The 27,984-nt window shown below is 38.1% G+C and overlaps 1 protein-coding gene across 16 annotated transcripts in view; it reads right to left on the bottom strand.

Annotated features, from left to right (window-relative positions):
* The window catches only part of CNTNAP4 (contactin associated protein family member 4), a 283,357-nt gene that overhangs the window by 180,075 nt on the left and 75,298 nt on the right, over positions 1–27,984 (bottom strand). For 13 of the 16 annotated variants that reach the window (NR_136216.2, NR_136210.2, NR_136213.2 and 10 more), the window contains one exon: positions 25,172–25,365. The exons of 2 other annotated variants lie outside the window; for them this stretch is intronic. Coding sequence is in view for 10 of the 14 variants with exons in the window: in NM_033401.5 (NP_207837.2) it covers positions 25,172–25,365 (194 nt within the window). In the remaining 4 variants the exon portion in view is untranslated. The remainder of the gene's footprint in view (positions 1–25,171; positions 25,366–27,984) is intronic. One more of the 16 variants, NM_001322181.2, reaches the window with a different exon arrangement.

The following is a 27,984-nucleotide window of genomic DNA, read 5'->3' as shown; positions in this document are numbered from 1 at the left end:
GGTAGTATCGCTACTTACAAATAAAAAAATTGGTGAATGTTTTCAAGAAAAAGAAAACCACTCCCCCGATCACATTTAGTTTCAAACCATGTCTTAGTCATCTTATTGTTACACTTCGCTTGAATCTATTCAAGTAATCACAAGCATTTTTAAAATGGGGAAAAATGCAGAAAAAAAATAGAGAATACAAAAATGCTCTAATAATTTCCCTTTAAAGTATAGCAATACTGATTTCAAAGTAATCTTGGAATCTGAAGGAAAGCATTGGGAACTTAATCCCCAATTTATTTTTATCAATGAGACTGAGAGACTGATTATGTGATACGGAGAGACCTGGAGTTTACCAGCACATACAAATCCTGGTCCTATACGCCTATACCAGAAACAGTATACTTCCCTTGACAATCACAGATGTCTGTCACCTTCTTCAACTTCACCTGATTTCCATATTAGCTACTACAAAGCCTCTAGTTATTATATCTTATTCAAAATGAAATAACTTTAGTGTATGCCACTAATTCTAAATGCATAGGGCCTTTATGAACACATTTTCCAGCATAATTGAACTCTAATATCTTGAAATACTACAACAGACTTGCGTTTTATCTGAAAAAATTAATTTCTCAAAAAATATTCACAACATTCACCACATAATTCTGACATCCTACATCAAGATTTATGCAAATGTCATTAAAGTAGATAGACAAAAATACTCGTAGTCAAGGACTTCACACCCTGAGGTCATGAAGATCCACACCATTATCTAGAAGTTAAGCATATCTTTGAAAATCTGAACTTAAGAGTAGAGAAATCCTTCACATATCATTAACCCAGGAACAGAACAGGAAGCAAGAATATTACGGATCCATGAATCAATTTGAAGAAAAGATAAGGACCATTGTCCTGGTCAGAACCAGCTAAGATCAGTCAGTAGTGATTGAAACTGATGTGTACACCTAACTACTAAATCAGAAGCAGAATATAGAAAGTCACTCAAAAGATAGTGTCACAGCTTGGTTAATCACCAGTTTCAATGGGAGGAAAAACTTGATTAATTGGTGCTTCTCAGATTAATGATAAAATGGCATTTGATTAATTAGGACGTGACCTCCGGCTGCAATGTACAAAGTAGAATGATAATATTAAGACAAAATCAGTTAGAGAAAGAGTAGTACATTTTGGAATTGACTCAGTTAAAGGAGGAAAAAGAACATAAAACTAACATCAACTCTAAACCCCAAACAAAGTTTAAACGAGAAAATATATTTGACAAATTACAATTGTAATGAAATGAAAAATTATAAATAGAATGAGAATTAGTAGAGGAAAACTACCTAACCTCCAGATTGTAGGGAGGTGGGGTAAGATATAAGAGTTTCTGTGAATCTCATTCTCTTTCAGGATGAACTTCCCTGACATGCTTCTATAGCCACAGCCAACAACCATGATTCTCTCGCATTCTTTCCTCCCATTTCCCATGTAGCACTGTGAATTGGAGTCATTTTTAAGTACCAGAAAGTAGGACTCGGATTCAGTTAGACCCTATGACACCCAAGGAATGGTGCAGAGCAAAAGGCATCCCATGAGCATGGATCTTTGAGTCCGGGGTAACCCTAAAGGTCACATGAACCCAGAGGCCCTAAGTTTACAGATGAGGAAACTGAGTCTCAATCACATTTTGAGTCTGAAGTCACAAACTTTGAGTCAAAGTCACAAATCAAGTGAGTTGTAGAAGTGGCCATAGAACTGAAGCCCTCTCTCTGATACATAAAGTTTCTTCACCACACAAAGATGGCTCAGGTTCCTCCTGTTCCGCAAACCTGAACTTGATGCACAGGCCTCCTCTTGGCCGACCCTAGGTGAGAACAGCTGGGCCGGGTTTTCTCCCTCACTGACATGGAGGACAGACTTTGCAGGAGCACAACATCCCTCAAAAGCTGTGTTCTATATGGAATCTTAAGGAAAGTATGTGAGATGCACCTAGAAAGCTGGAGTGTGGTCAGGGCTGAGACTGCAAGAATACACTGGACACAGACCATTCACAACAGTGAGGCCAGGGATACCCCAAGACTTACACCAAGGTCTACTCAGAAAGGTCCCCTTGTCTGTCCATTTCTAAACCCAGAACTTCCATGTCATGACCTGTGATATGGACAGACCTGGAGTTTACCAGCACATACAAATCCTGGTCTTATACACCTATGCCAGAAACAGTATACTTCCCTTGACAATCACAGATATCTGTCACCTTCTTCAACTCCATCTGACTTCCGTATTAGCTACTACAAAGGCTACTACAAAGAACATGTGGAGGCCTGGTTTTCCACTGCTGTCTTCTCTTTCTTCCAACGATCTTTTTTCTGCCATCCAGGGTCCTCATTATATTTTTTTATTTTTTAATTTGATAGATTTAGGGAGTATAACTGAAAATTGTTACATGGATATATTGTGCAATAATGAGTTCTGGGCTTTTAGTGTCCCCATCACCTGAATAGTGTACATTGTATCCCATAGGTAATTTTTCATCCCTCACCCTCTCCCATCCTCCCTCTTTTTAGAATCTCCAATAAACAAAAGAAACTCTCTTAATATTGTTATAAAATGAGAATTGAGAGTGATCTCTGGATTCGAGCAGCCTGGGTTTCTAATCCAGACTCCAGCAGGTACTGGTTGGTAGTTGTGAGAGGTGTGTAACTCCTGAAAACTTTAATTTATTCTTCTAGAAAAATGAAATGTGGGACAATGCACAGACAAAGCTTTGCATAATGCCACTAGCATGGTGAATTCATCCCACCTGAAATCCAAATGAACATTCTGGGACCTAAGGTGCAGTGTGCTAACTTTTCCCACATGCTATATTTCCATGGAGTCAGTAAGCATTTTTATAGTTCTTCTGTCAATTACAGAGAATTTTTATTTCTTCCTTGTAAAAATGAGGTGCCAAAAGAAAAAAATGAGGGAGAGAAAACACATTTATTCTCCTTTTTTATGAGTGTCAGCTGGTGATAGCAAACTTTGCCCCTCCAGACTGAGGTCCTCTGGCAAACCACAGGTCATTTCTTCACACCCCTTGCAACTCTCTGCTTCAAAAGCCTTGTGGTTGACCCATAAAACACCCTAAATGACTTTCACAGACTCCTCTTCAACACTTCCCTGCCCACACCTTCTTCTTAATCATTTCCTAGCATTGCACCATCTTTGAAATTATAAACGTGTATATTCTATTCTTCCACCATAGACCACTGAATCTTTCCGACTCTCTTCCATCATTCCATTTTTATTTGCTTTTCAGCCTCAGTAACTCCATGCTTCCTTAGACACTTTCCATCTTTGTGATGGTTAAAGTTATGCATCACCTTGACTAGGCTACCATACCCACACATTTGGCCAAACATTATTCTAGATGTTTCTTTAAAGGTATTTTTAAATGAGATTAATATTTAAATCCATAGACACTAAGTAAAGCAAATTATCTTCATAGTATGGGTGGGCCTCATCTAATCAGTTGAAGGTCTCAATATATGAAAAAAAAGACTGACTTCCCTGGAATAAGAGGGAATTCTGCCAGCACACTGCCTTTGGACTTAAACTGCAACTCTGCCCTGAGTCCTAAGCCTGCCAGCCTACCCTGCAGATTTTGGACTTGCCAAGCCTGTCGATTGCACGAGCCAACTCCTTAAAATAAATCTCCCATCTCTCCCAACCTCCATACATGTATGTATATGTGTACACACACACACACACACACACACACACACACACACACACACACACAAACCTTGTTAGTTTTGTTTCTCTGGAGAATCCTAACTAATACAATCTCCTATCAACCTCACCCTCCCTGACTTCACTTCCTTTTCTACATGGTTCTGACTCCATGGTACTTCTCTTCCTCCATGCTCTTGCCAGCCCCTATATGTCCTTGTCCTAGTGTCCTACCATCACAGTATCCCTGTGGATTCCAACCCTGGGTCCTAAATGTCTATGCCCTCAGTTCCTGTGTATGCACAGTTGCACACAGCTGCAGAAGGCCATATCACAGTCTGCACAGGTGACCTGTTCATGCCCTTTGGCCAACGCTGGGCTCTCCGACTGTGTGGGGATACTTTTCCAAGGAGGTACCATTCTCACACCTCCCTCTTTGCTCTCAGTAAATATACGATCTCTTTGCATATGAAAGGTCCTTTATATAGACTGAAGTCTAAACCTGTCTTTACTTTTTTTCTTCCTTTATAATAAGAAGACATGTCTCTTCCAAGCCAACTGTGATTTGAATCCTCTCACTCCATCACATACGCTCTCGAATGGCCTTTATGTTAGGCAGTCCTTTCCCTTTCTCTTGGGGTAGTATTTGCTGTTTTCTCTTTTCCACTCCACATCAAATTTCCTTTCCGAAAACCGCTGCACTCAGTGAGACATCTACTCTCACCTTTTAGCTGAATTGCTGATAACCTCAGATCTATGTTAATTTTGCATGAGTTGTATTTTTTTTGCATTTAATTGCATAAAGGTTTTCTTCCTTGCTTGCTTTTCTTTATTTCCCTCTTTTTTCCCTTCCCCTTTATCTCTTCCTCACTCTTTCTCTCCCTCCCCCTAACTCTCTCCTCCTCCACCTCCTCCTCTTTCTCCTGCTCCTTCTTGTCTCCTTTTGTATTTAACTTTCACACAAACTCTTTCATGTGTATAGTATTGCTACGCTTATTTTACAGAGGAGGTAAAAGCAACTGCCCAAGGTCACACAGCTTGCATGAGATGGAGCCTGCATCTGAATGCATGCAATCTGATAACAGAGATGACATCCTTAACTGCTATTCATCGCCTTCCATCTCATCTTTCTTTTTAGTGCTGTGGCTCCAGCACTGACCTTGAACTGACAATCCGACTATTCAAGTCACTCTTGGCTCACACAACAGAAGGAGGCTCACTATTTCCATATAGCCAATGTAAACTTCCCTGCAGAAAATGAGACAATGTGTTCATGATGTTTGCTACCCTAGCCCCAGATTATTAGATCTACTCACATTTACTACACTTCTGATGCAGGAGCCTGGGGGTGGGGACTTCAATGGAGGAGAGAAGAGAATGATTCACAAGGACTTTTCCTGGAGCAAAGGTAAGAGCCAACCTTGTTCTACTGTGTGCTAGAACGTGAAAAGTCGCACAGCTTTCCTACATGACAAAAGACCCCAGTGCAAAGCCCTATGCAATATTCAAAGTAGGACGAGATAGAATAAATATATTTCATAAATTTATGCCTTTTTCTGAGACAGCCTTGCTCTGTCACCTAGGCTGGAGTGCAGTGTCGTGATCTCAGCTTACTGCAACCTCCCCCTCCCAGGTTCAAGTGATTCTCTTGCCTCAGCCTCCCCAGTAGCTGGGACTGCAGGCACATGCCACCACGCCTGGCTGATTTTTGTAATTTTAGTGGAGACAGGGTTTTACCATGTTAACCAGGCTGGTCTCGAACTTCTGACGTCAAGTTATCCACCCGCCTCAACCTCCAAAAGTGCTGGGATTACAGGCATGAGCCACTGCACCTAGTAAATACGTGCCTTTAAATCACACAAATAGTACTTTCTTCTTGGTGAAAATTTCTCTTAAAAAAAGTTCTGCTGGCCGGGCGTGATGGCTGACGCCTGTAATCCCAGCATTTTGGGAGGCCAAGGCGGGCAGATCACCTGAGGTCAGGAGTTCGAGACCAGCCTGGCCAACATGGTGAAACCCCATCTCTACTAAAAAAGACAAAAATTAGCCAGGCATAGTGGCAGGCACCTTAATCCCAGCTACTTGAGAGGCAGAGGCAGGAGAATCATTTGAACCCAGGAGGCAGAGGTTGCTGTGAGCCGAGATTGAGCCATTGCACTCAAGCCTGGGGGACAAGAGCGAGACTTCTCTCAAATAATAATAATAATAATAATAATAATAATAATAATAATAATAGTGTCATAGTCAAGTATATACTTTATTCAACTTAGATGGATTAAATGTTCACAGACTAAAAATTTTGAAAAATGCAAACTAAGAAAGTGAGAGTAATGTACACGGAAATTCAATGTTTGTGTGTACATAAATACAAAGAATTTGATTTTATGAGAACAAGAAGGCTGGACAGACCAATTTATTTCCAATCCAGATAAATTTCATTATTTACCTATCATTGTTCACATAAAGAGTTTTAAGGTGAGCACAGTTCCCTGTGAGTTTAATTAATTCATGTATTTATTCTGATTTAAGGATCAGAAATTGATTTTCAAAGTGATATATTAATTTTTTTACATTATTTCAGGGTAGAGTACAAAGATGGAATTAGTAACATAATCGCTTTGTAGCTCTTGGGATAATTTTCTGCAACTTTCCACAAACTCGCTAAAATAAATAGAAGATTCTTTTCTCTGAAACTGATATTCTCTAGCCCGACCCAAATTCATGATTATTCTGAACATAATGTAATAAAGTGATTGCCCCCTGAGGATGTCTTTTCACTGCTCCAGCAATTTTTCTCTCCTCTCTCACTTACTGAAAAAGAATCCTATTATTAGGTACTTAAAATGCTCATGGCTTCAAAAGGGAGACAACGTTTCAGTATGAGAAATTAACATGAAGCAACCCAAAATGAAAGAATGGTATTCAAAAGCCAATTACAAATTTTATTTGTTAGACACAAAACAAGTGATTCATTTTGGACTGTATCTCTTATCTCTCTGATTTATAGACACAATTCTGTAGGCTATGTCTTAGTATTTTGGCTTCCTGTTTCCTTTCCTTTTCTTTTTTTTTTTTTTTTTGTGAGATGGAGTTTCACTCTTGTCACCCAGGCTGGAGTGCAATGGCGTGATCTTGGCTCATTGCAACCTCCACCTCCCGAGTTCAAGTGACTCCCCCACCTCAGCCTCCCAAGTAGCTGGGATTACAGGCGCCTGCCACCATGCCTGGCTAATTTTTGTATTTTTAGTAGAGATAGGGTTTCACCATGTTGGCCAGACTGGTCTTGAACTCCTGAGCTCAGGTGATCCACCTGCCTCGGCCTCCCAAAGTGCTGAGATTACAGGCATGAGATGAGCCACTGCGCCTGTCCAGTTTCCTCCTTTCATACTCATAGCTACTTCTGGACAAATGTCCTAACATTTGAATCTTTTCCTAAAACCATGGCTCTTCTAAGTCACCCAAAGTATTTTTTGTGAACATTTCTGAAAGGAGTAAATTTAGTGCAGATAATAATAAAAAGAAAAAATCTTAGACAAGGCCAATTTAGAGGTATGACTTATAAAGGCAATTGGGAATATGGATAGATAAAGCTATGTAGTTCAAGTCCTGGTTTTTATGACTAAGAATGTTTCTTTTACATATTTTTGTGAAATATACTCCACATATTTATGTGGAATATATTTCACATATTTATGTGGAATATATTTCACATATATATGTGGAATATATTCACCTATTTATGTGGAATATATTCACCTATTTATGTGGAATATATTCACCTATTTATGTGGAATATATTCACCTATTTATGTGGAATATATTCACCTATTTATGTGGAATATATTCACCTATTTATATGGAATATATTCACATATTTATGTGGAATATCAGATGTACACCCTCATAGTCTCAGTTTGTACAGTGACCCCTGTGCTGTAAACCAGCAGACACATCAGATTATTGTATTTCAGATTCGAAGTAATCATGAAAAGTGTTTCTTTATACTCAAATAATATTATCAATATCTCTTCGAAACCACATTAGCAACAAAGCATGGAGTTTCTATCTTCTGGGAATTCATAGCCTTAAGAAATAGGTACACTTTTCAATAAAGATAATATACATAGTATGCATTTTAGCCAGTAGCACTTGAGTAATTATTTATGTCAAAGGTATAATTCGAAACCAGGCCAATGTATTAGTCCATTTTCATGCTGTTGATAAAGACATATCCAAGACTGGGTAATTTATAAAGAAAAAGAGGTTTAATGGACTTAGTTCCATGTGGCTGGGGAGGCCTCACAATCATGGCAGAAGGCATGTCTTACATGGTGGCAGAAAAGACAGAATGAGAGCCAAGCGAAAGGGGAAACCCTTTACAAAACCATCAGATCTCATGAGACTTACTCACTACCAGGAGAACAGTATGGGGGAAACTGCCCACGTGATTCAATTATCTCACATTGGGTCCCTCCCACAACACGTGGAAATCATGCGAGCTACAACTCAAGATAAGATTTTGGTGGGACCAGCAGGGCACGGTGGCCCACGCCTGTAATCCCAGTACTTTGGGAGGCCGAGGCGGGCAGATCACGAGGTCAGGAAATCGAGACCATCCTGGCTAACACAGTGAAACTCTGTCTCTACTAAAAATACAAAAAAAAAAAAAAATTAGCTGGGCCTGGTGGCGGGCGCCTGTAGTCCCAGGTACTCGGGAGGCTGAGGCAGGAGAATGGCATGGACCTGGGAGGCGGAGCTTGCAGTGAACCGAGATTGCGCCACTGCATTCAAGCCTGGGCAACAGAGTGGGACTCCGTCTCAAAAAAAAAAAAAAAAAAATTTGGGCTGGAACACAACCATTATCAGCCAACATATAAGTAGAATGAAATAGAACAAAAATAGATGGGTGAATTGGAAATTCGGTTGATTAAAGTTATACAAACCCTGCAAAGCAATGCAGAGACTCCCTGGAAATAACACTATCACAGATGTCATTGGAAGTAAGAACTTAGAGATGATTAAGTGAATATTGGAAAAGTGAGGGGCAAAAGTGGACCTGAGAGGTAAGTGACTTGATTGTGTTTGGAAAGCCCTGATTGAAAGGGATGAACTAAAGCTTGTTTGGCAGACATGCCTTAGATAACTGAAGAGTATCACCCAGAAGAGAAATAGGAAAGTACAAGAAACTTTGGAGAATGTCTTAAGAGCAACAATTAAACACCTGAGCTTGGAGCTGTGTTGCACAAGGAAACCATCAGTGAAATATGCCAAGGTTAGGACTGGACAGAGCCATAAGATCTTCCAGCTAAGCAAAACATTTCAATAAAACTTAGTAATGTGCTTTCCTTTGCATACCAAGTGTGTGTTGTAACCTTGTCCCAGAAGTGACAACAGGCCAGGTGTGGTGGCTCATGCCTGTAATCCCAGCATTTTGGGAGGCTGACGTGGGCAGATCACCTCAGGTCAGGAGTTCGAGACCAGACTGGATAACATGGTGAAACCCTGTTTCTACTAAAATTACAAAAATTAGCCAGGCGGGAGGCACGCACCTGTAATCCCAGCTACTCAGGAGGCTGAGGCAGGAGAGTCGCTTGAATCCGGGAGGTGGAGGTTGCAGTCAACCAAGATCGTGCCACTGCACTCCAGCCCAGGCGACAGAAGAAGATCCATTTCAAAACAAAACAAAACAAAACAAAAAACGAAAACAGATGTGTATTAAGGTACATATATACCCTGGTCCTCCTCAGTGAACTCTGGAGCTCATGTGTAAGATGTTTGATGTTTGATCATCTGTAAGATGTTTGCTATTTTTTCCCACATAGAAAGCAAATCTATGTTTTGAACTCTAACACATATTTTGAGAAATAAAGAATTGAATCGATAATTGATTAAGGAGAGCACCACTCTACTTACTCAGTGTCGATTATGTGGCAAAAATGACCCTAAACCAATGGTTCAGCATTTTTCATGGATTCCCTTCTTTCAGGACATTGAAAGACTGTTCTTGGCTAGCTTTGCCTACTCATAAATATTACCAGGACAGAAGAGCGCTAAATGTAACATTTTATACATGTGGCACTAGTTAACATAAATTTAGGGGGAAACTTATCTTAAATCTCAATTTCCTCAGTATCAAAATATTGATCTATTTTCTTTATGGGTTGAAAGGGAAGCATGCAATTTCAAAACTGAAAGGGAATGAGGAATCACTCAGTAAGTACTTGGATTCTGCCTGCATCCTCTTCTATAAGCAAAGAAAAAGCAGCTCATAGAGGCAATTTGTCGTTAGTAACATACCTTCTTCAGGCTGTCCTCATCGTTCTGTTTCACTTAGAACCACGTGTCACCCTTTCCCTGCTCTGACCCAAAACATTAGAGGGCTGAGTGACGTGGACTGTGTCCCAGGCTCCTGTATTAAGGAGCTTCCAGCTGGGAACTTGAAAAAGATCTGCAAGTGAAAGGAAGGGAGGAACCAGGGTATTTCTTCCCACTTTTGCTCTGCCTCAGGCTGCTACTTGGTAGTGGCTGAGCCTTTTACAAGGCTCCAGCCCCCAAAAGATACCCACTGCTTCCATAATTCTATAGGGCAGTCCTTGCAGAAGTTCTAGCATTCTGAGGTAACTTGTTTCTCTGATGGGGCACTGGCGCAGAGGACAATTTAGAACCAGAACTAAGGATTTTTTTTTTTCTGTCAGAATACACTCAGATTAGATGACATGCTGCACATATGAAACCCACACAGCTATATATATGGATTTAAACTACTAAAATATTGAACAATAATCTGTTGTGATGCTTTGTATTGACAACCAAGGTACGCTTTATTCTATCAGTAAATGTTACCAGATATTATCGTATAACAAGTAGGAGATAGCTATTGTTTATGTGAGGGTTCATTTGATATTTCCACATGACTAGGTAAAGGTGTACCCAGACAGCTGGCAAAATATTATTTCTGAGTATGTCTGTGAGGGTGTTTCCAGAAGAGATTGCATTTGAATTGGTAGACTGAGTAAAGAGACCTGCCCTCACCATTGTAGGCAGATATAATCCAATCCATTGAAGGCTAAAATAGAACAAAACGGAGGAGAAAGGGCAAATCCTCTCTCTCTCTCTCTCCCTCCCTCCCTCTCTTTGAAACAGGGTCTCACTCTGTTGCCCAGACTGGAGTACAGTGGCACAATCTCAGCTCACTGCAACATCTGCTTCCCAGGCTGAAGCGATCCTCCTGCCTCAGCCTCCTGAGTAGCTGGGACTACAGGCATGCACCACCCCACCTGGTTAATTTTTGTGTTTTCTGTAGAGATGGAGTTTCACTATGTTGCTCAGGTTGCTCTTGAACTTCTGGGCTCAAGTAATCCTCCCACCTTGGCTTCCCAAAGGGCAGGGATTACAGGCATGAGCTACTGTGCCTGGCTCTCTCTTCTTGAGCTGAAGCATTCATGTTCTTCTGCCTTTGGACATCTGAGCTTCTGGTCCTTGGGTCTTCAGACTTAGACTAAATTAGACCACCAGCTTTCCTGGTTATCCTGCTAAAAGACAGCAGATGGTAGAACTTCTTGGTCTCCATAATTGCATAAACCAGTTCCCATTTCATGTATATACTTGGTTCCATTTCTCTGGAAAACCCTGTCTATCTTGTATTAAACAGCAGTAACCATAATACCATGGGTGTGATGCAGTAGCTTAAAAATTTTAAAGAAAAATTATATGAAATGAATAACTTAAAATGAAAGAACGTATTATTTTGTTATATTGCACACATTGGAAAATAATGTCTAAAATATTGCAGTTTCAAATGTTTTCATTCCAATCTTTTAGGATGTGTTATTTCTATTTTGAATGAGGTTGAAGATACTTTTATATATTTATATATCATTTTTTCCTTTCTATGAACTGCCTGTTTATATAATGGCTCTTTTTTTTTTAACCAAAAAACGAAAAAACAAAAAAAACTAAGGCTTTATTTTTTACTGTTTTTTAGAAAGTTTCATACTTATACTATGTTGAGAATTTTTGTGATGATGGAAGTGTTCCATAACTGTTCTGTCTAATCCAGTAACCACTGGTCTAACGCAGCCATTGAGCTCTTCAAATGGGGCGAGTGTAAACTGAGGAGCTTTATTTTTAATTTAATTAATGTAATTTTATTTTTTTATTATACTTAAGTTCTGGGATACACGTGCAGGATGTGCAGGTTTGTTACATAGGTATACATGTGCCATGGTGGTTTGCTGCACCCATCAACCCATCATCTACATTAGGTATTTCTCCTAATGCTATCCCTCCCCTTGCCCCTTACCCCACAACAGGCCCCGGTGTGTGATGTTCCCCTCCCTGTGCCCATATGTTCTCATTGTTCAACTCCCACTTATGAGTGAGAACATGCTGTATTTGGTTTTCTGTTCCTGTGTTGGTTTGCTGAGAATGATGGTTTCCAGCTTCATCCATGTCCCTGCAAAGGACATGAACTCATTTTTTAGGGCTGCATAGTATTCCACAGTGTATATGTGCCACATTTTCTTTATCCAGTCTATGATTGATGGGCATTTGGGTTGGTTCCAAGTCTTTGCTATTGTGAATAGTGCTGCAATAAACATACGTGTGCATGTATCTTTATAGTAGAATAACTTATAATCCTTTTCAGTGACCCTGTGTGGCTAGTAGCTACCACATGTAAAAGCAGAGATTTGGATATTAAGAAAATTGTGTCATTATTATTGGGAATATAGAGTTAATCTCTAAGCTGTAGCTTTTTTCCTACTCTTTATCTTTAGCCAAATCCTTCTTGCAACATTAACTCAAAGAATGTGCAGGAGAATCTAAGATGAATGGATATCCTGCTGGTATGTTTTGTACTGAACTAAAAACCTGTACCTGGTTGTCAAGATTACTGAGCAACCCAATGTTTCTCATACTTTGCAGCTAATTGAAATCACTTGGGAATATTTTTAAAATTCTAATTTAAAAATCTGGGCTCCCACCTCTAGACAGTCTCCCTAGGTACCAGAATTAGAATGCACAGTGAAATTTAGCTATCACAGACATAACCTGGAAATCAGTGAATAGCCTAGGACTGATAAGATACCAGCTACATTGGAGAACAGTTGGCAAGTATCCCTGAGAAGTTACATCACTAATGTAATGTAAGAGCTGAAGGACCCCTGGAGCTGATGGCTTTCCTGATGTGTGGTGGCGACACCCACTAAGCCAGTGACAGTTATTCAGATATTTAAAAGTTGTTCAATAACACCCACCAAGCCAGTGACAGTTATTGGGATATTTAAAAGTTGTTCATGATAGCTGAACATCTATTATGCTGTTGCTGTGCATGCTGTGTGGTTGCCTGCCCTTTATTATTTTTAAATCTAAGTAAATATGTAGCTGAATGAAGCCTATTCAGTCAGTCAGAATGTCAGTCTTAACCAAAGACCACTGCTGCTGCTGAATAAATGTGGGCATTGCTATCATATAGGCTAAAAATATTTCCCAATGTATACCCTTTCTTTTATGTTATATATGTTATATTTTTATGCAGCCTTCCATATATTATCTAATTTTTCATCTTTTCCTTTATGGCATTTGGGTTTGGTTCCCTTTGCCTAGAAAGACAGGCCCCGTCCAATATTACATGTGTATCTTTACATTGTCCTATATTTTCTTTTAATACTTTTTTCTGCATCTGTATTACTTTTAAATATTTATATTAAATCTATTTTGATATAAACAAGTTATCTACTTTTCTAGAAGGCTATGATTTCCATATTGACTAATACATATTTCCTTAAATATGTATTAAGCTTTTCAATGCTGTATCTATTTTATGCAAATCCCTAAATGTATTTGGACATAGTAACAGATGTCCCATGTGTTCTTATACCATATTTTAATGTGCCAGTATCAATAAGTTTTAATTAATATATATTAATAAATTTTTTGTAACATGTAAATTCTCCTTACCATTATTGTTTTTGCTAATTAACTTAGTTATTTCTCATATACATTTTTCTATATGACATTCAGAATGATCTCATTTATATGGATGATTTTAGGGAGAATGAATAGCTTTATAATATTATCTTTTACTCAAAAGCAGATACATCCTTGCATTTAATCAAGTGTTCTTCTATGTCCTTTAGTAATATTCTAAATAGTTCTTTTTTTGTTTCTTGTACATATTCTATTACATTTTTTTCCTTGATATCTTTTCATTTTTTGGATTACTTATACACTGTTGGTGGGAGTCTAAATTAGTTCAACCATTGTGGAAAGCAGTATGGCAATTCCTCAAAGAGCTAAGAACCATTTGACCCAGCAATCCCACTACTGAGTACATACCCAGAATAGTAGAAATCATTCTACCACAAAGACACATGCACGCAAATGTTTACTGCAGCACTAGTCACAATAGCAAAGACATGGAATCAACATAAATGCCCATCAATGAAAGACTGGATAAAGAAAATGTGATACATATGCATCATGTAATACTATGCAGCCGTAAGAAAAGAATGAGATTATGTCTGTTTTGGGAACATGGATGGAACTGGAGGCCATTATCATTAGCAAACTAATGCACGAACAGAAAACCAAATGCTATATGTTCCTACTTATAAGTGGGAGCTAAATGATGAGAACTCATAAACACAAGGAAGGGAACAACAGACACTGGGGCTTACTTGAGAATGGAGGGTGGGAAGACAGAGAGGAGCAGAAAAATTAACTATTGGGTACCAGGCTTAGTACCTGGCTGACAAAATAATCTGTACAACATGAGTTTAACTATACAACAAACCTGCACATGTATCCCTGAACCTAAAAGTTTAAAAAAATTTCAGCAAATTTTTTATAATTTGACACGAAACTAAAAAGGTAAATGTAAATGCACAAAGATAAAAAAACTTAAAGTCAAAAAATTAAAACATAAAAGACAACAATAACAAAAAAGCATATCAGGATCAACAAGAGTAGCTTCAGAATATATATTTCCATGAAGATAAATTAAGCAAATCAATAAATAATAAACCCAACTTCCAATCTAATCTAGTTTGGATTCTATTACAAATGGCGTTTGTATTTCTTTTACATTGTCCATGTAGTTATTTATATCTAGGAAGAGAACTTAAGAATTTAAAAATTAATTTTGTTGTTAGAAGCATTACTGAATTACCTTTATAAAAAGTAATTACCCAGATGATTCTCTTAGGTTTTTTTTTTTTTTTTTTTGAGACGGAGTCTCACTCTGTCCCCCAGGAAGGAGTGCAGTGGCGTGATCTCAGCTCACTGCAACCTCAGTCTCCCAGGTTCAAGCAATTCTCCTGCCTCAGCCTCGCAAGTAGCTGGGATTACAGGTGTCCGCCACTATACCCGGGTAATTTTTTGTATTTTTAGTAGAGACAGGATTTCACCATGTTGGCCAGGCTAGTTTTGAACTCCTGATCTCACGTGATCCACCCGCCTTGGCCTCCCAAAGTGCTGGGATTACAGGTGTGAGCCACAACGCCTGGCCAGAGTTTTTAAGAAATATAATTGTATCCACTTCAAATCTTAGTTTCTCCATTGACTTTCTTCACAGAATTAGCAAAAAATACTTTAAATTTCATATGGAACCAAAAAAGAGCCCACATAGCCAAGATAATCCTAAGCAAAAGAACAAAGCTGGAACCATCACAGTACCTGACTTCAAACTATACTACAAGGCTACAGTAACAAAAACAGCATGGTACTGATATCAAAACAGATATATAGACCAAGGGAACAGAACAGAGGCCTCAGAAATAACGCCACACATCTACAACCATCTGATCTTTGACAAACCTGACAAAAACAAGCAATGGGGAAAGGATTCCCTATTTAATAAATGGTGTTGGGAAAACTGGCTAGCCGTATGCAGAAAGCTGAAACTGAATCCCTTCCTCACACCTTATGCAAAAATTAACTCAAGATGGATTAAAGACTTAAACGTAAGACCTATAACCATAAAAACCCTAGAAGAAAACCTAGGCAATACCATTCAGGACCTAGGCATGGGCAAAGACTTCATGACTAAAACACCAAAAGCAATGACAACAAAAACCAAAATAGACAAATGGGATCTAATTAAACTAGAGAGCTTCTGCACAGCAAAAGAAACTATCATCAGACTGAACAGGCAACCTACAGAATAGTTGTAAATATTTTTTAATCTCGTCTCTATTTAAAATATACTTAATAAAGTATATAAATTAAAGATGGAAAATTAGCAAAGTGAATGGGAAGTATTAGTTTTGTCTAGGTCCTAAGGAACAATGAAGAAACACTTCAAAGGAACAGAACTGCTTCCAAGATTGAAAAATGCAAAATGTAGCCTCCTGGGGAATGAAGCAGCCAAAAAGCAGATGTCTAAGACACAGTATCGCAGCCGTGGTAAGAGGGAATAGAGAAAAGGGAGTGATGTTGTCATTGAATTGTCACATGGTAGAATGTGAGATACAAGTTATCAAGTGTTTTAAAAATGTTGTTCTCAGGTTGATTATTTGAAAATGAACTGGAATGGGGGTGTACACTCTGAAGAGGCACCAAATTAAATTCCCTGTTAACTCTAGTCCCTCTCTTCAAATAAATTTTTTGCTTGCTTACAAACAGATCCATTTAAAGACTGTGAAGCAATATCACAATTTATCTCACATTGCTATGTGTATCTACAGCTCATAAGAGTTCATATATTTTTTCTTTTCTGTTTTTTTTTTTTTTTTTTTTTTTTTTGAGATGGAATCTCGCTCTGTTGCCCAGGCTGGAATGCAGTGGCATATCAGCTCACCGCAACCTCCACCTCCCAGGTTCTAGTGATTCTCATGCCTCAACCTCCAGAGTAGCTGGGATTACAGGTGTGCACCACCATGCCCAGCTAATTTTTGTATTCTTAATAGATACAGGATTTTACCATACTGGCTAGGGTGGTCTCAAACTCCTGGGCTCAAGTGATGCACCCACCCCAGCCTCCCAAAGTGCTGGGATTACAGGCCATATGTATTTTTTTGTATATTATATATTAAGGTAAAGCTCCAATATACATGCACCTCACAGAAGTTTATGAGAAGGGATTGATGTAACATGCTATAGAATGTGCACAGATGCAAAGAGATGAAACAGAGCCACCGACACTACTTAATGAAGAAGATGCCTAGCAAACTAACTGTGTTGACTTGTGATTGAGGTCATATTTAAAACCCAAATGCTTTTTTAATACTAACTCCCTATCAGATACATGGTTTCCAAATATTTCTCTCATTCTTTAGGATGCCTGTTCACTTTGTTGTATGCTATACAGAAGGTTTTTGTTGACGTAGTTCCACTTGTTTATTTTTCATTTTGTTGTCTGTGCTTTTGGTATATTTAAAAATATTTATGCATTACCAAGACCAATGTCGTGAAGCTGTTTCTGTACGTTTTTTTCTAGCAGTTTTACAGTTTCAGGTTTTCCATTTAAGTCTTTAACCCATTTTGAGTTAATTTTTGCATACGGTATAAGGGTCCAGGCTGGGCGCAGTATCTCACGCCTGTAATCTCAGCACTTTGGGAGGCCAAGGTGGGTGGATTGCCTAAGGTAGGGAGTTTGAGGTCAGCCTGGCTAACATGGTGAAGCCCAGTCTCTACTGAAAATAAAAAATTAGCTGGGTATGGTGGCACACACTTGTAATCCCTGCCACTCAGGAGGCTGAGGCAGGAGAATCACTTGAACCCAGGAGGCAGAAGTTGCAATGAGCCGGGATCCACTGCCACTGCACTCCAGCCTGGGTGCAAGAGTGAGACTCCAACTCCCAAAAAAAAAAAAAAAAGATAAGGGTTTAATTTCATTGTTTTGCATGTGGATATCCAGTTTACCCAGTAGCATTTGTTGAAGAGACTATACATTCCCCATTGTCTATTTTTTTTTTTTTAATAGAGCATGGGTCTTGCTATATTGCCCAGGCTGGTCTTGAACTCCTGGCCTCAAATGATACTTCCTCCTCCTCCCAAAATGCTGGGATTACAGGTATAAGCTGCCATGCCTGGCCCCCATTGTGTATTCTTTTTTCCTTATTTTATTAACTTCTATTTTAGGTTCAGGCATACATGTGCAGGTTTGTTATATAGGCAAATTGTATGTCACAGTGGTTTTATGTACAGATTATTTTGTGACCTAGGTAATAAGCATAGTACCTCACAGGTAGTTTTTTGATCCTCACCCTCCTCCCACCCTCCACCCTCAATTAGGTTCTGGTGTGTACTCTTCCCTTCTTTATCTCCATATGCACTCTATGTTCCCATTTATAAGTGAGAACATGCAGTATTTGGTTTTCTGTTCCTTTGTTTGTTCTTGACACCCTTGTGAAAGATCAGTAGACCATAGATGTATGGGTTTATTTCTGGACTTTATGCTGTTTTATTGGTCTATATGTCTGTCTTTATGCCAGCACCATATTGTAGCTTTGTAATATATTTTGAAATCAGATGTGTGATGTCTCTAGCTTTGTTCTTTCTCAGGATTGTTTTGGATATTCAAAAAACATGTTTGTGGTTCTACCTAAATTTCTGGTTTTATATAAATCTTAGGATATTTTTTCTATTTCTGTAACAAAATGCCACTGGGATTTTGATAGGGATTGCATTGAATCTATAGATTGCTTTGAGTAGTATAGACATTTCAACAATATTAAGTCTTCTAATCCATGAACACAGAAATTTTTTCATTTATTTGGTTCTTCTTTCACTTCTTTCAGCAATGTTTTGTAGTTTTCAGTGTACAGCTCTTTTGTTCCCATGGTAAAGTTTATTCCTAAGTATGTTATTCTTTTTGATACTATTCTAAATGAGACTATGTTTTAAATTTCCTTTTTGGATCATTTATCGTTAGTATGTATAAACTAAATATATAATAATAGTATAGTAAAAATATATCAGTAACTTCCCCAACTCAATAGCATAAAAAGGGGAAAAAACCTGATTTTAACATGAGCAAAAGCATTGAGCAGACAGTTCTCCAAAGAAGATATACACATAACCAGCAGGTTGGTGAAAAGATACTCAACATTTCCAGTCATCAGGGAAATGCAAATCAAAACCACAGTGAGATATCACCTCACACCTGTTAGGATATCTGTCATTTAAACAAGGAAAACAAAAGATAACAAGCAGTGACAAGAAATTGGAGAAATCGGAACCCTAGTACATAGTTGGTAGAAATTTAAAATGGTACAACCACCATGGAAAACAGCATGCAGTATGGAATTTCCTCAAAAATTAAAAACTGAAATTCCATGTGATTCAGCAATCCTGATCCCAGGTATTTATCCAAAAGAACTGAAATCAGGATCTCAAAGAGACATCTGCACCCTCATACTCATTGCATCATTATTTACAACAGCGAAGAAGTGGCAACAACCTAAATGTCCATAGGCAAATGAATAGATTTTAAAATTGTGGTATTTACATGAAATGGAATGTTCCTCAGCCTTAAAAAAAAAGAAAGCACATTCTGCCTCAAAATTCTTTCAGCACAAACAAACTTTGACGACATAACGCTAAGTGAAATAAGCCAGTCACAGAAGAACAAATAATGCATGTTGCCACTTTCATATGAGGTACATGTATCTAAAATAGTCAAATCTATAGAGGCAGAAAGTTGAATGATGGTTGCCAGGGGATAGGAAAAGGGTGAAATGAGGAGGTGTCATTCAACAGATTAAATGTTCCAGTTAAGCAAAACGATTGAGTCCTGCAGATCTGCCTTACAACACTGTGCTTATAGTGAACAGTATTGTACTGTGCACTTAAAAATTTGTCAAGACGTTAGATTTCATGTTAAGTTTTTTTTTAACACAATTATAAAAAATGGGCCGGGCGCGGTGCCTCATGCCTGTAATCCCAGCACTTTGGGAGGTTGAGGCAGGCGGACCACGAGGTCAGCAAATCGAGGCCATCCTGGCTAACGTGGTGAAACCCCGTATCTACCAAAAATACAAAAAAAAAAAAATTAGCCGGGTGTGGAGGCAGGCGCCTGTAGTTCCAGCTACTAGGGAGGCTGAGGCAGGAGAATGGTGTGAACCCAGGAGGTGGAGCTTGCAGTGAGCCGAGATCGTGCCACTGCACTCCAGCCTGGGCAACAGAGCGAGACTCCATCTCAAAAAAAAAAAAAAAAAAATGCAGCCATGTTTTAACCAGGCATTAGCAGGTTAATCATTTTCAAAAGCTAGAGAATGTGGAGCTAAATAGAAATATAAACAGGAAACTTCCTGAAGATTTAGACTAATAATGTAGACTTTCATTAAAATATGTTTTGGATCAGTCTCTTGAAAGATAAAAGCAGCTGCAGGCACTCTCTAGGCATTTGCCAAGTACTAAGCAAGTACTGCAGTGCATTAAGTTTGACAGCTTGACATGTTCACACACTTGGCGTTAGTATTGCTACAACTTCTATCACCACAAATGCTGCTTGTAGGCTTAGGTCAAGAGAATAAGGGCTCAACATAAGGAAGGAAAAATGCCACTCACAAGGAGGAGAGTCACCTACCCTACAGCTTATATCTCTTTTGCACTTCTGCCTCCTCAGATTTTCTATTAAACTATCCCTAGGCCCTTATTTGACTTAAAACAAATGCATGTGGAAATCTTTGCAGGTAGTGTTTCTACCCTGTCTGGCTTACAGAGTTGACACCTCAATCATTCACGGTGATAATAATGGCCTGAATATTTTGTGACAGGTAGTGCTTCTGCCTCACTGACTACACCATGCCACAGGGTCTCTGTGTCTTTCACCAGCCAAACCCAGAACCATGACACTAGACACTTCTAGTTAAAGAACAAAAAACAAAGAGATACTAACTTCATATAGGCAATAAAGGTTTTTGTTTGAAAAATCAAGTACAACTGAAGTCTATTTTAAATAAAGCAAACTATTCTTGGGTTTAACAATCATATTTACTCAGTTTATAAGATTGGTACCAACCCATTCATTGCCCTTGTAGTCTGCAGTATAAAAGAATCTTAGGCATTTACCATAAAGGATTTGGAGAATTTGCCTGTAAAGTTCCTGCACATGTTATCTATTTAAAATAATTTCTAAGATGTTGATTTCACGATATCTCAGCAATTGTTCTTAAGTGAGTGAAAATTATACCTTATGTTTACTTTTTCAATCATGTACAATAAACTGAAGAGAACCTTTTTATTATAGATGTTGAGGAATTTTGTGTTCAATCTGAGAGGAGAAAGTTTAGCTTGCATTTTCTGAATTTTCATAAAATATTTGTTTGCCATTCAGCAGAATACTTTGTATAAATTATATTTTATGAACATTGCACTATAAATTTTTCACTGAAGAAATATTCCAATGTGTAATATTTTAAAATATCACATATCTATCAAGTTTGCATTTCTATTAAATGATCTGTATAGACTGTAAAATATTCTGTCTTTCCTCTTAGGGATTATTTGTAAGAAGTGGCAGAGCATTTTTTTAATTATTTCAGGTATGTAGAAGTCATTGTACTGCCTGGCATTCAAAGTGAGACCAAATGAGGAGAGAATGAAGAATTTTCCCTGCAGCATTTCAATCCGTGTTGATTGTTTTTATTGCTTTTGTTCCTAAACCAGTAACACTTGTCTTTTGTTTTTCTATCACATACTTGTATAATGCCTTATGTGTTTCCTAACTCTCTTTCGTAGACTTATTTGCATCATGTGGAGCAGATTGTGAAGCTCTTAAAGGAAATTGGCATATTTTGTATAATTGGTATACATCCTATAATACCTACAAAAACTGAGCCAGAAAACAAAAAGTTGGGAAATACACATTTGTAAAATGTAACAAAGGGTTAAGTTTTTTTATGATGTACATCAATTTGAAATTGTTCTTCTGCTTAAAAAATGCAAATTGAAGTGGTCTGTGTTCTTCCAGGCAGAAAAGTCAAGAGACAGGGCACAATTCACCATATTTCAATTTTCCTGCTTCAGCAATTAGCGATTCACAGAGAGCTTCCTTTAGAGTGGGACCAGAGTAACTATGGAATAGAATAAAACTTTGAAGCTACCTAGGATTAACAGGAAATACATACACATACATACATATATATACACACACATACATATACACATACATATATATATATACACACACATACGTATACTTTCAGAGACTTGGGGTTGTTTTATCTACACTACAACTTAGCTATGTTATGTGTGGTAATGGTGTCTATTGTACTAAGTCTTAACTTTGATCTTGACATTTAAAGTTATCTGTCAACTTTCTTTGCCAGATCCAACATTATCTTCCAGTCTTTCCAAAACTTGATAGTCCAATGTGACCAGTAATCTCACTAGTTATTACACAGGAAACCATAACTCTGGATATCCCCAATGTCCATGCTTTTTTCACACCTTTCCAGCTTCATAAAATAGCCTCCTTAATCCTTCCATAATCTAAACTATAATGCTTTCTTCAAGACCTATGTAAGCCTTACTACTTTGACAAATTCAGCTTACAATGATCTCCATATTCTGTCCATTTCCAAATGCTTAGGAATCTGTATCTAATATTTGCATGTTCCGCTTAATCTTTCTTTGTTTTGCTCTGATATGCCTTATCTCTTCAGTGATTTTGTTGTTGCTGTTTGTTTTGTTTTTGAAATGGAGTCTTGCTCTGTCACCCAGGCTGGAGTGCAGTGGTGCAATCTCAGCTCACTGCAACCTCTGCCTCCCAGGTTCCAGTAATCCTCCCATCTCAGCCTCCCAAGTAGCTGGGATTATAGGCACATGTCACCATGCCCAGCTAACTTTTTTGTATTTTTAGTAGCGACCAGGTTTCACCATGTTGGCCAGGCTGGTCTCGAACTCCTGGCCTCAAGTGATCCTTCCACCTTGGCCTCCCAAAGCCCTGGGATTACAGATGTGAGCCAAAACGCCCAGCCTTCTTCAGTGAGTTAACATAAACTTTTGATACCTTCCAGAAATTTGGACAAAGATAGGCACAGATTAGCAGACTGACATACTCACATCCATTCATTTATTGGTCCTTTCACCTATTTAAGCAGCAAAAGTCATGTGCCACACTGGATGTTGGATACCAGAAATGCTAAGACTAGAAAAAGAAAATCTCGCCCATAAAGAAGTTCAATATCTATAGGGAAAAGAAAAATGTGCCATTCTAACTGGTATATTAAATTGGTATTAAATAGAATATAATAAAAAGAAGAGCTGATGGAGGCAAGAGAGAGTCACTTTTAGAGTGATCAGAAGAGTATTCTACAAGAAAGTGCATTTTATTCACTCATTGCTTCAATAAACATTTAATATTTGACTGTGACATGCCAGGTGCTCTTACACTTTGGGGATATTGAGATAAAAGATCGCAAGGTACAGTATTTACAGAGCTCACACTCAAGAAGGGAAGACACTGAGTAAATCAACAAATTACAGCAGAGTCTAGAAAGCAATGTTACCTTAACAGGATTATGATAGACGCCATGTTTTTACTTTTACTGGTTTGGACTAGTAAGGATATCATTCATGCCACCATTTCACCATGAGCGCCTCAACTTTAATAAGAGTAAGCAAGTAAGGTAAATGGCAGTGCCTGGGTTTGGCTTTCCCCAAGCTTGCTTAACAGAAGTACAACAATTTTCCTGATTGATCACTTTTTAAAAAAATACATTTTAATTAACATACCTAAATATTAGCATGCATTAGCCACTACTTATCTAGGTTAAATTCCAATGCTTAATTCAAAAAAGAGCAGAAGATAATCCAAACATCTAGTTAAATAAATATCTCATTAAGTTTTTATTGTTATTGGTTCATAATTACTGTTTATTTTATCCCTAGTTTGAGTGGCTTTCATGGAATTAGTTGAACGTAATACCCAGTGTTTGGAGTTTGGGGTGTGTGTGTGTGTGTGTGTGTGTTTTGTTTTGTTGTTTTGTTTGTTTTTTTTTCCTCTTACAGCTTCAACTTGCTTTGGATTTTAAACAGCTTTTCTTAAAACTGCTTATAGGCAACTTCTTCTAGTCCCACTGTTGTTCCCTCTAGAGAAAGAGCAGGGCTACTTCTCTCAATTCAATTTACATCAATAAGCATGGATTGAATGGCCACCAAGAGCTTTAAACATACAAAGGTGAGTAAATCACAGTCCATTTCTTCAATGAGTTTATAATGTATAACGGAGTTCTATGAAGTTTCAAAAAACAGGCAACTGACTGGTCAAAGAAAATTATCATTATGTGCCCAAATAGGCTTCCAAATTATCTGTGTGCTAAGAATGACGCTTCATTAAGTAACCCATTTTCTCTAGTTCCAGCAACTCAGCCAGAGAGGGGAGAATAGTTCTTTGATTGCAGTACATTGTTCTTAGCCCACATAAGATCCAAACAAATATTTTTCTGCACTAAGAAAGAAGTCTTTCCTTTGTTATCAAACAAACATCCTTTAGGTTCTTCTTCCATCAGGTGTTTATATGCCATATCCAGGTTTATTTATCAATCAACTACAAATATCACCCACTTTATCACAAAATGCCTCTTTCCCAGTCTCCCTCTTATAGGAGCTGCACCACTGTTTACAACACACAGCAATTTACACATTTATACACTTTACAGAGACTAGAGAAGGGTTTACAGATAAATCATATATATGCGTACATGTGTATGCATATACATACATATACAACTCCACATATTATATATATAAATCCCCATATACCAGAGAAAGAAACAGGGTTTCAAAAATCTCAGTTATCAGAAGAAATAAAAGGAACAAATTATTTTGACTAATTGTAAATAAAGACAATGCAGGCTGGGCTCAGTGGCTCATGCCTATAATCCCAGCACTTTGGGACGCCGAGACAGGTGGACTGCTTGAGGCCAGGAGTTCGAGTCCAGCCTGGCCAACATGGTGAAAGCCCGTCTCTACTAAAAACACAAAAATTAGCCGGGTGTGGTTGTGGGCGACTATAATCCAAGCTACTTGGGAGGCTGAAGTAGGAGAATCGCTTGAACCCGGGAGGCAGAGGTTGCAGTGAGCCAAGATCGCGCCACTGCAACCAGCCTGGGTGACAGAGTGAGACTCTGTTTCAAAAATAAATAAATAAATAAATAAATAAATAAATAAATAAATAAATAAATAAAAGACAATGCAAGACTATTATGTTTTTGAACAAAACTTTTTTTATACAAGTCTTATTTATTTCTTAGACTCCCACACTATTTAATGGACTAATAGGGTTTATTTTTCAATTTTTGAGAACCCTGTAATATAAATTTACCCTTAGTATTCTCATAAATTTACCATAAAATGTATTGGAAAATGATTATTTACCATATTTTCTCTTGGAAAATGTTTTCAATGTAAGTCTGCAGATTCTGTATGTCTACTTAATTTAAGAGATTGGTAAACAAGATGCAGTACTGATTATACTTTTTCCCCGAGAGACTATGTCTTTTGTTAAAGAACATACCCAGATGCTGTCCTCTTGGCGATATTGTTTCCAGTTCCAGCCACTATCACTGAACATCAGGAGGTAGCTGGTCACCCAGTTGGAGCTACCATATCCCCCTTGAGTGGCCACAGCGGTGACCTCCATTCTCTCTCCAAGGTCAATCTGCAACCACTGGTATTTGTTAGACACAAGTGGAGACCAGCCACCAGCTCCTTTTATTAAAAATAGAAACAGGAGAAAATTGAGAAAGGAAAGTTAGTTAAAAATCTATGTTTGTAAAGAAATGCCAGTACGACTGTATTCCTCTATGGAACTTAAATATCCAAAATATGAAACTTCTTATAATTGTAGAAAAATATAGAGGTAAGAATTTAGTATAATTATATGATGTCTATGTTAATTAATTGTATTCATTTCTAGATTTTATAGCCTTCTAAAACTGGGAGAACTAGGGGTCTTGCTGAATATTTAAAATGTTTAATATGATAGGTGAACATTCCTGCCAACACTGGGAACTTACTAGCATGTCTACTGCACACATGTAATGGTGTGCTCTGCTACCCCTTTGCCCAGGACTGGATGTAAGGAAGTAACTTCAAGCTATGAAGGAACTAAAGCTGTGGTGGAACTAAAAATCTACTTGTGATCATGTTTAGACTTAGAGAAGGGAGGACATTGTTAAGTCTGGGAAAACAAAAGTCAAGAAATAGTTCCTGGCCTCAAGATGTTTACAGTCTTTTGGGAGGGACAGATGTTGAAAACCACATTTGAAACACACATTAATGATGGCGTGTTTGCAGGAGAAAATAACACAACTCTATCCAGTGGTGGGTTGGAGCTTGTTCCCAACAGTTTGTGAGAGACAATCATTAAATTTTCAATTTTGCAAGCTAGTTATTAAACATAACCATCTTTGCAATTGGCCATGATGAGAGTATTTAAACCACGGAAACTGCAAACTCTGCAAATAAGCACCTGCCCTCACCCCAGCCAGTTTACCAACACACCACTGTTTCTATCCTATATGGGAGCAGGGTGGTGGGTAAGAGGATGGGGGAAAAGAGAACCAAGGAAATCATAGAGCAAGCTGTGCTTGATCACTCAGAAGTAAAGAATACAAGTTGTGATGTATGTTCAAAGAAGTAATGTGCACAGCATAATTTACTGTGTTATATTTGATCCAACACACACCAAAATACTGTAGATGTGACTCCTGTATATCGTGTTAAGATGCTTCATTCTTCCAGTTTAATATAATAATTTGGGGAATTATTTTAAGAATTATTTAACATTGCTGATTATGTAAGTAACATATAATCATTGTAAAAGTTACGAAATAGGGTTTGACTCATTCTTGAATCCATATTATCTAACATTTAATGTTTATTAAAATGCCACATCAATTATATAGCACCCCAAATAAGAATGTTAGCACATTTTCTTCCCCCATTCTTTTGCTGCTCACCTTGAGGCTCTGATAATAAGGTCTGGAATTTTAGATACAGATTACCATTAATTTATATAGTTTTGATTCAAGCATTATTCTTGGCATACATGACCCATTTTATGAAACCTTGAGTACAAGACCTAATTCAAAGAAATGCTCAATAAATGTTTGCTGTTATGGTAGGGCGTATGCCATTGTAGGACCTGAAGGCACACACCAGTGTTGACAAGTACTTTATAAGACTTCAAGATTATTTTGATGGTGGAACACAGCATAATGATACTCTGATAGATGAAGGGCAGAACTCTGCTACTTACAACTACTAACAAGAGAAGACGCCAGGCAGGACCACACATGGGGATGCACCAGAGGACAGCATAAGGGTAAACTGGAGCTGTAGGAGGCAGCTTCTGTATGACAAGCAGGATAGGGCTAGCTAGCTAGGCTTGGTGGGCTTCCTGTGAATTGGCTAATCTGAACAATTTATCTAGGAGGCACTAGGACACCCCTAGTTGTCTGGTACCTGTCCCAGCAATGATGCTTAACAACCGCAAAGGGTGAGAACCTAATAAAGGAAGTGGTTGGAGTATGGACATAATCAGCTGCTAAGAAAGGAAAGTGACCAGTCCTGGCCGGGGTCAAAACTGTGTCAAAGCAGCATTTTAAAAAATTGCATTACAACAAACTGCACATGTACTCCTTAATCTAAAATAAGTAAGTTGAAATTCTTTTTAAACATTATATTACAAGAAGCTCCTCTCTTGATGGCATCACACTAATGACTGCTTGCATTCAGGTATAATCCCTGTTTCTTACTATACTGTCTTTAGAATTAGATACATCATCAAATTTCCATCTTTCTTCAAGTGAATCATTGTTCAAAACTGTATTCCACTCCATGTGTCAAAAGCACAATGCTCTTCCTCTTTTGTGGATCCAGAAATTTTTTACATGCTACAAGTTTTGTTTATGCGTTTTGACTTTTAATTTTCTCTGTATTTGTTCTTAAAGAACCTGTGATTTGGGGTGCAGTTTCGTTGTACACCAATATTATCTACCTTTATGCTTATAAAGCAGAATATTCTCATCTTTTAAGCAAGAGGGCTTGTTGCATAGACATGGTCCCTTGGTGTCTTGGGGTCATTTGTTTAGCATGGCCCTGCTGTCCGTGAAGGGTACTTCCTACCCTTGCAGACTGTTATTTATACGGAATGTGTTCTTGAATGATCTGAAGCACACTTTAAATAGCACCCTCCCACAAATAGCTCGGGGAGTTCTTGAACTCTGCGGGAACTGCTCCTGGGGCATTATTTTAAAATCTGAATCAATGCTTCCTCCATCCTTCATTTTTCAGGATGTGATGAAACACCATCCATCCTCCTCT

The sequence above is a fragment of the Homo sapiens genome, chromosome 16 (genome assembly GCF_000001405.40).
Source record: "Homo sapiens chromosome 16, GRCh38.p14 Primary Assembly".
Classification (NCBI taxonomy): Eukaryota; Metazoa; Chordata; class Mammalia; order Primates; family Hominidae; genus Homo; species Homo sapiens.
This window is presented reverse-complemented; position numbering and strand designations above follow the sequence as displayed.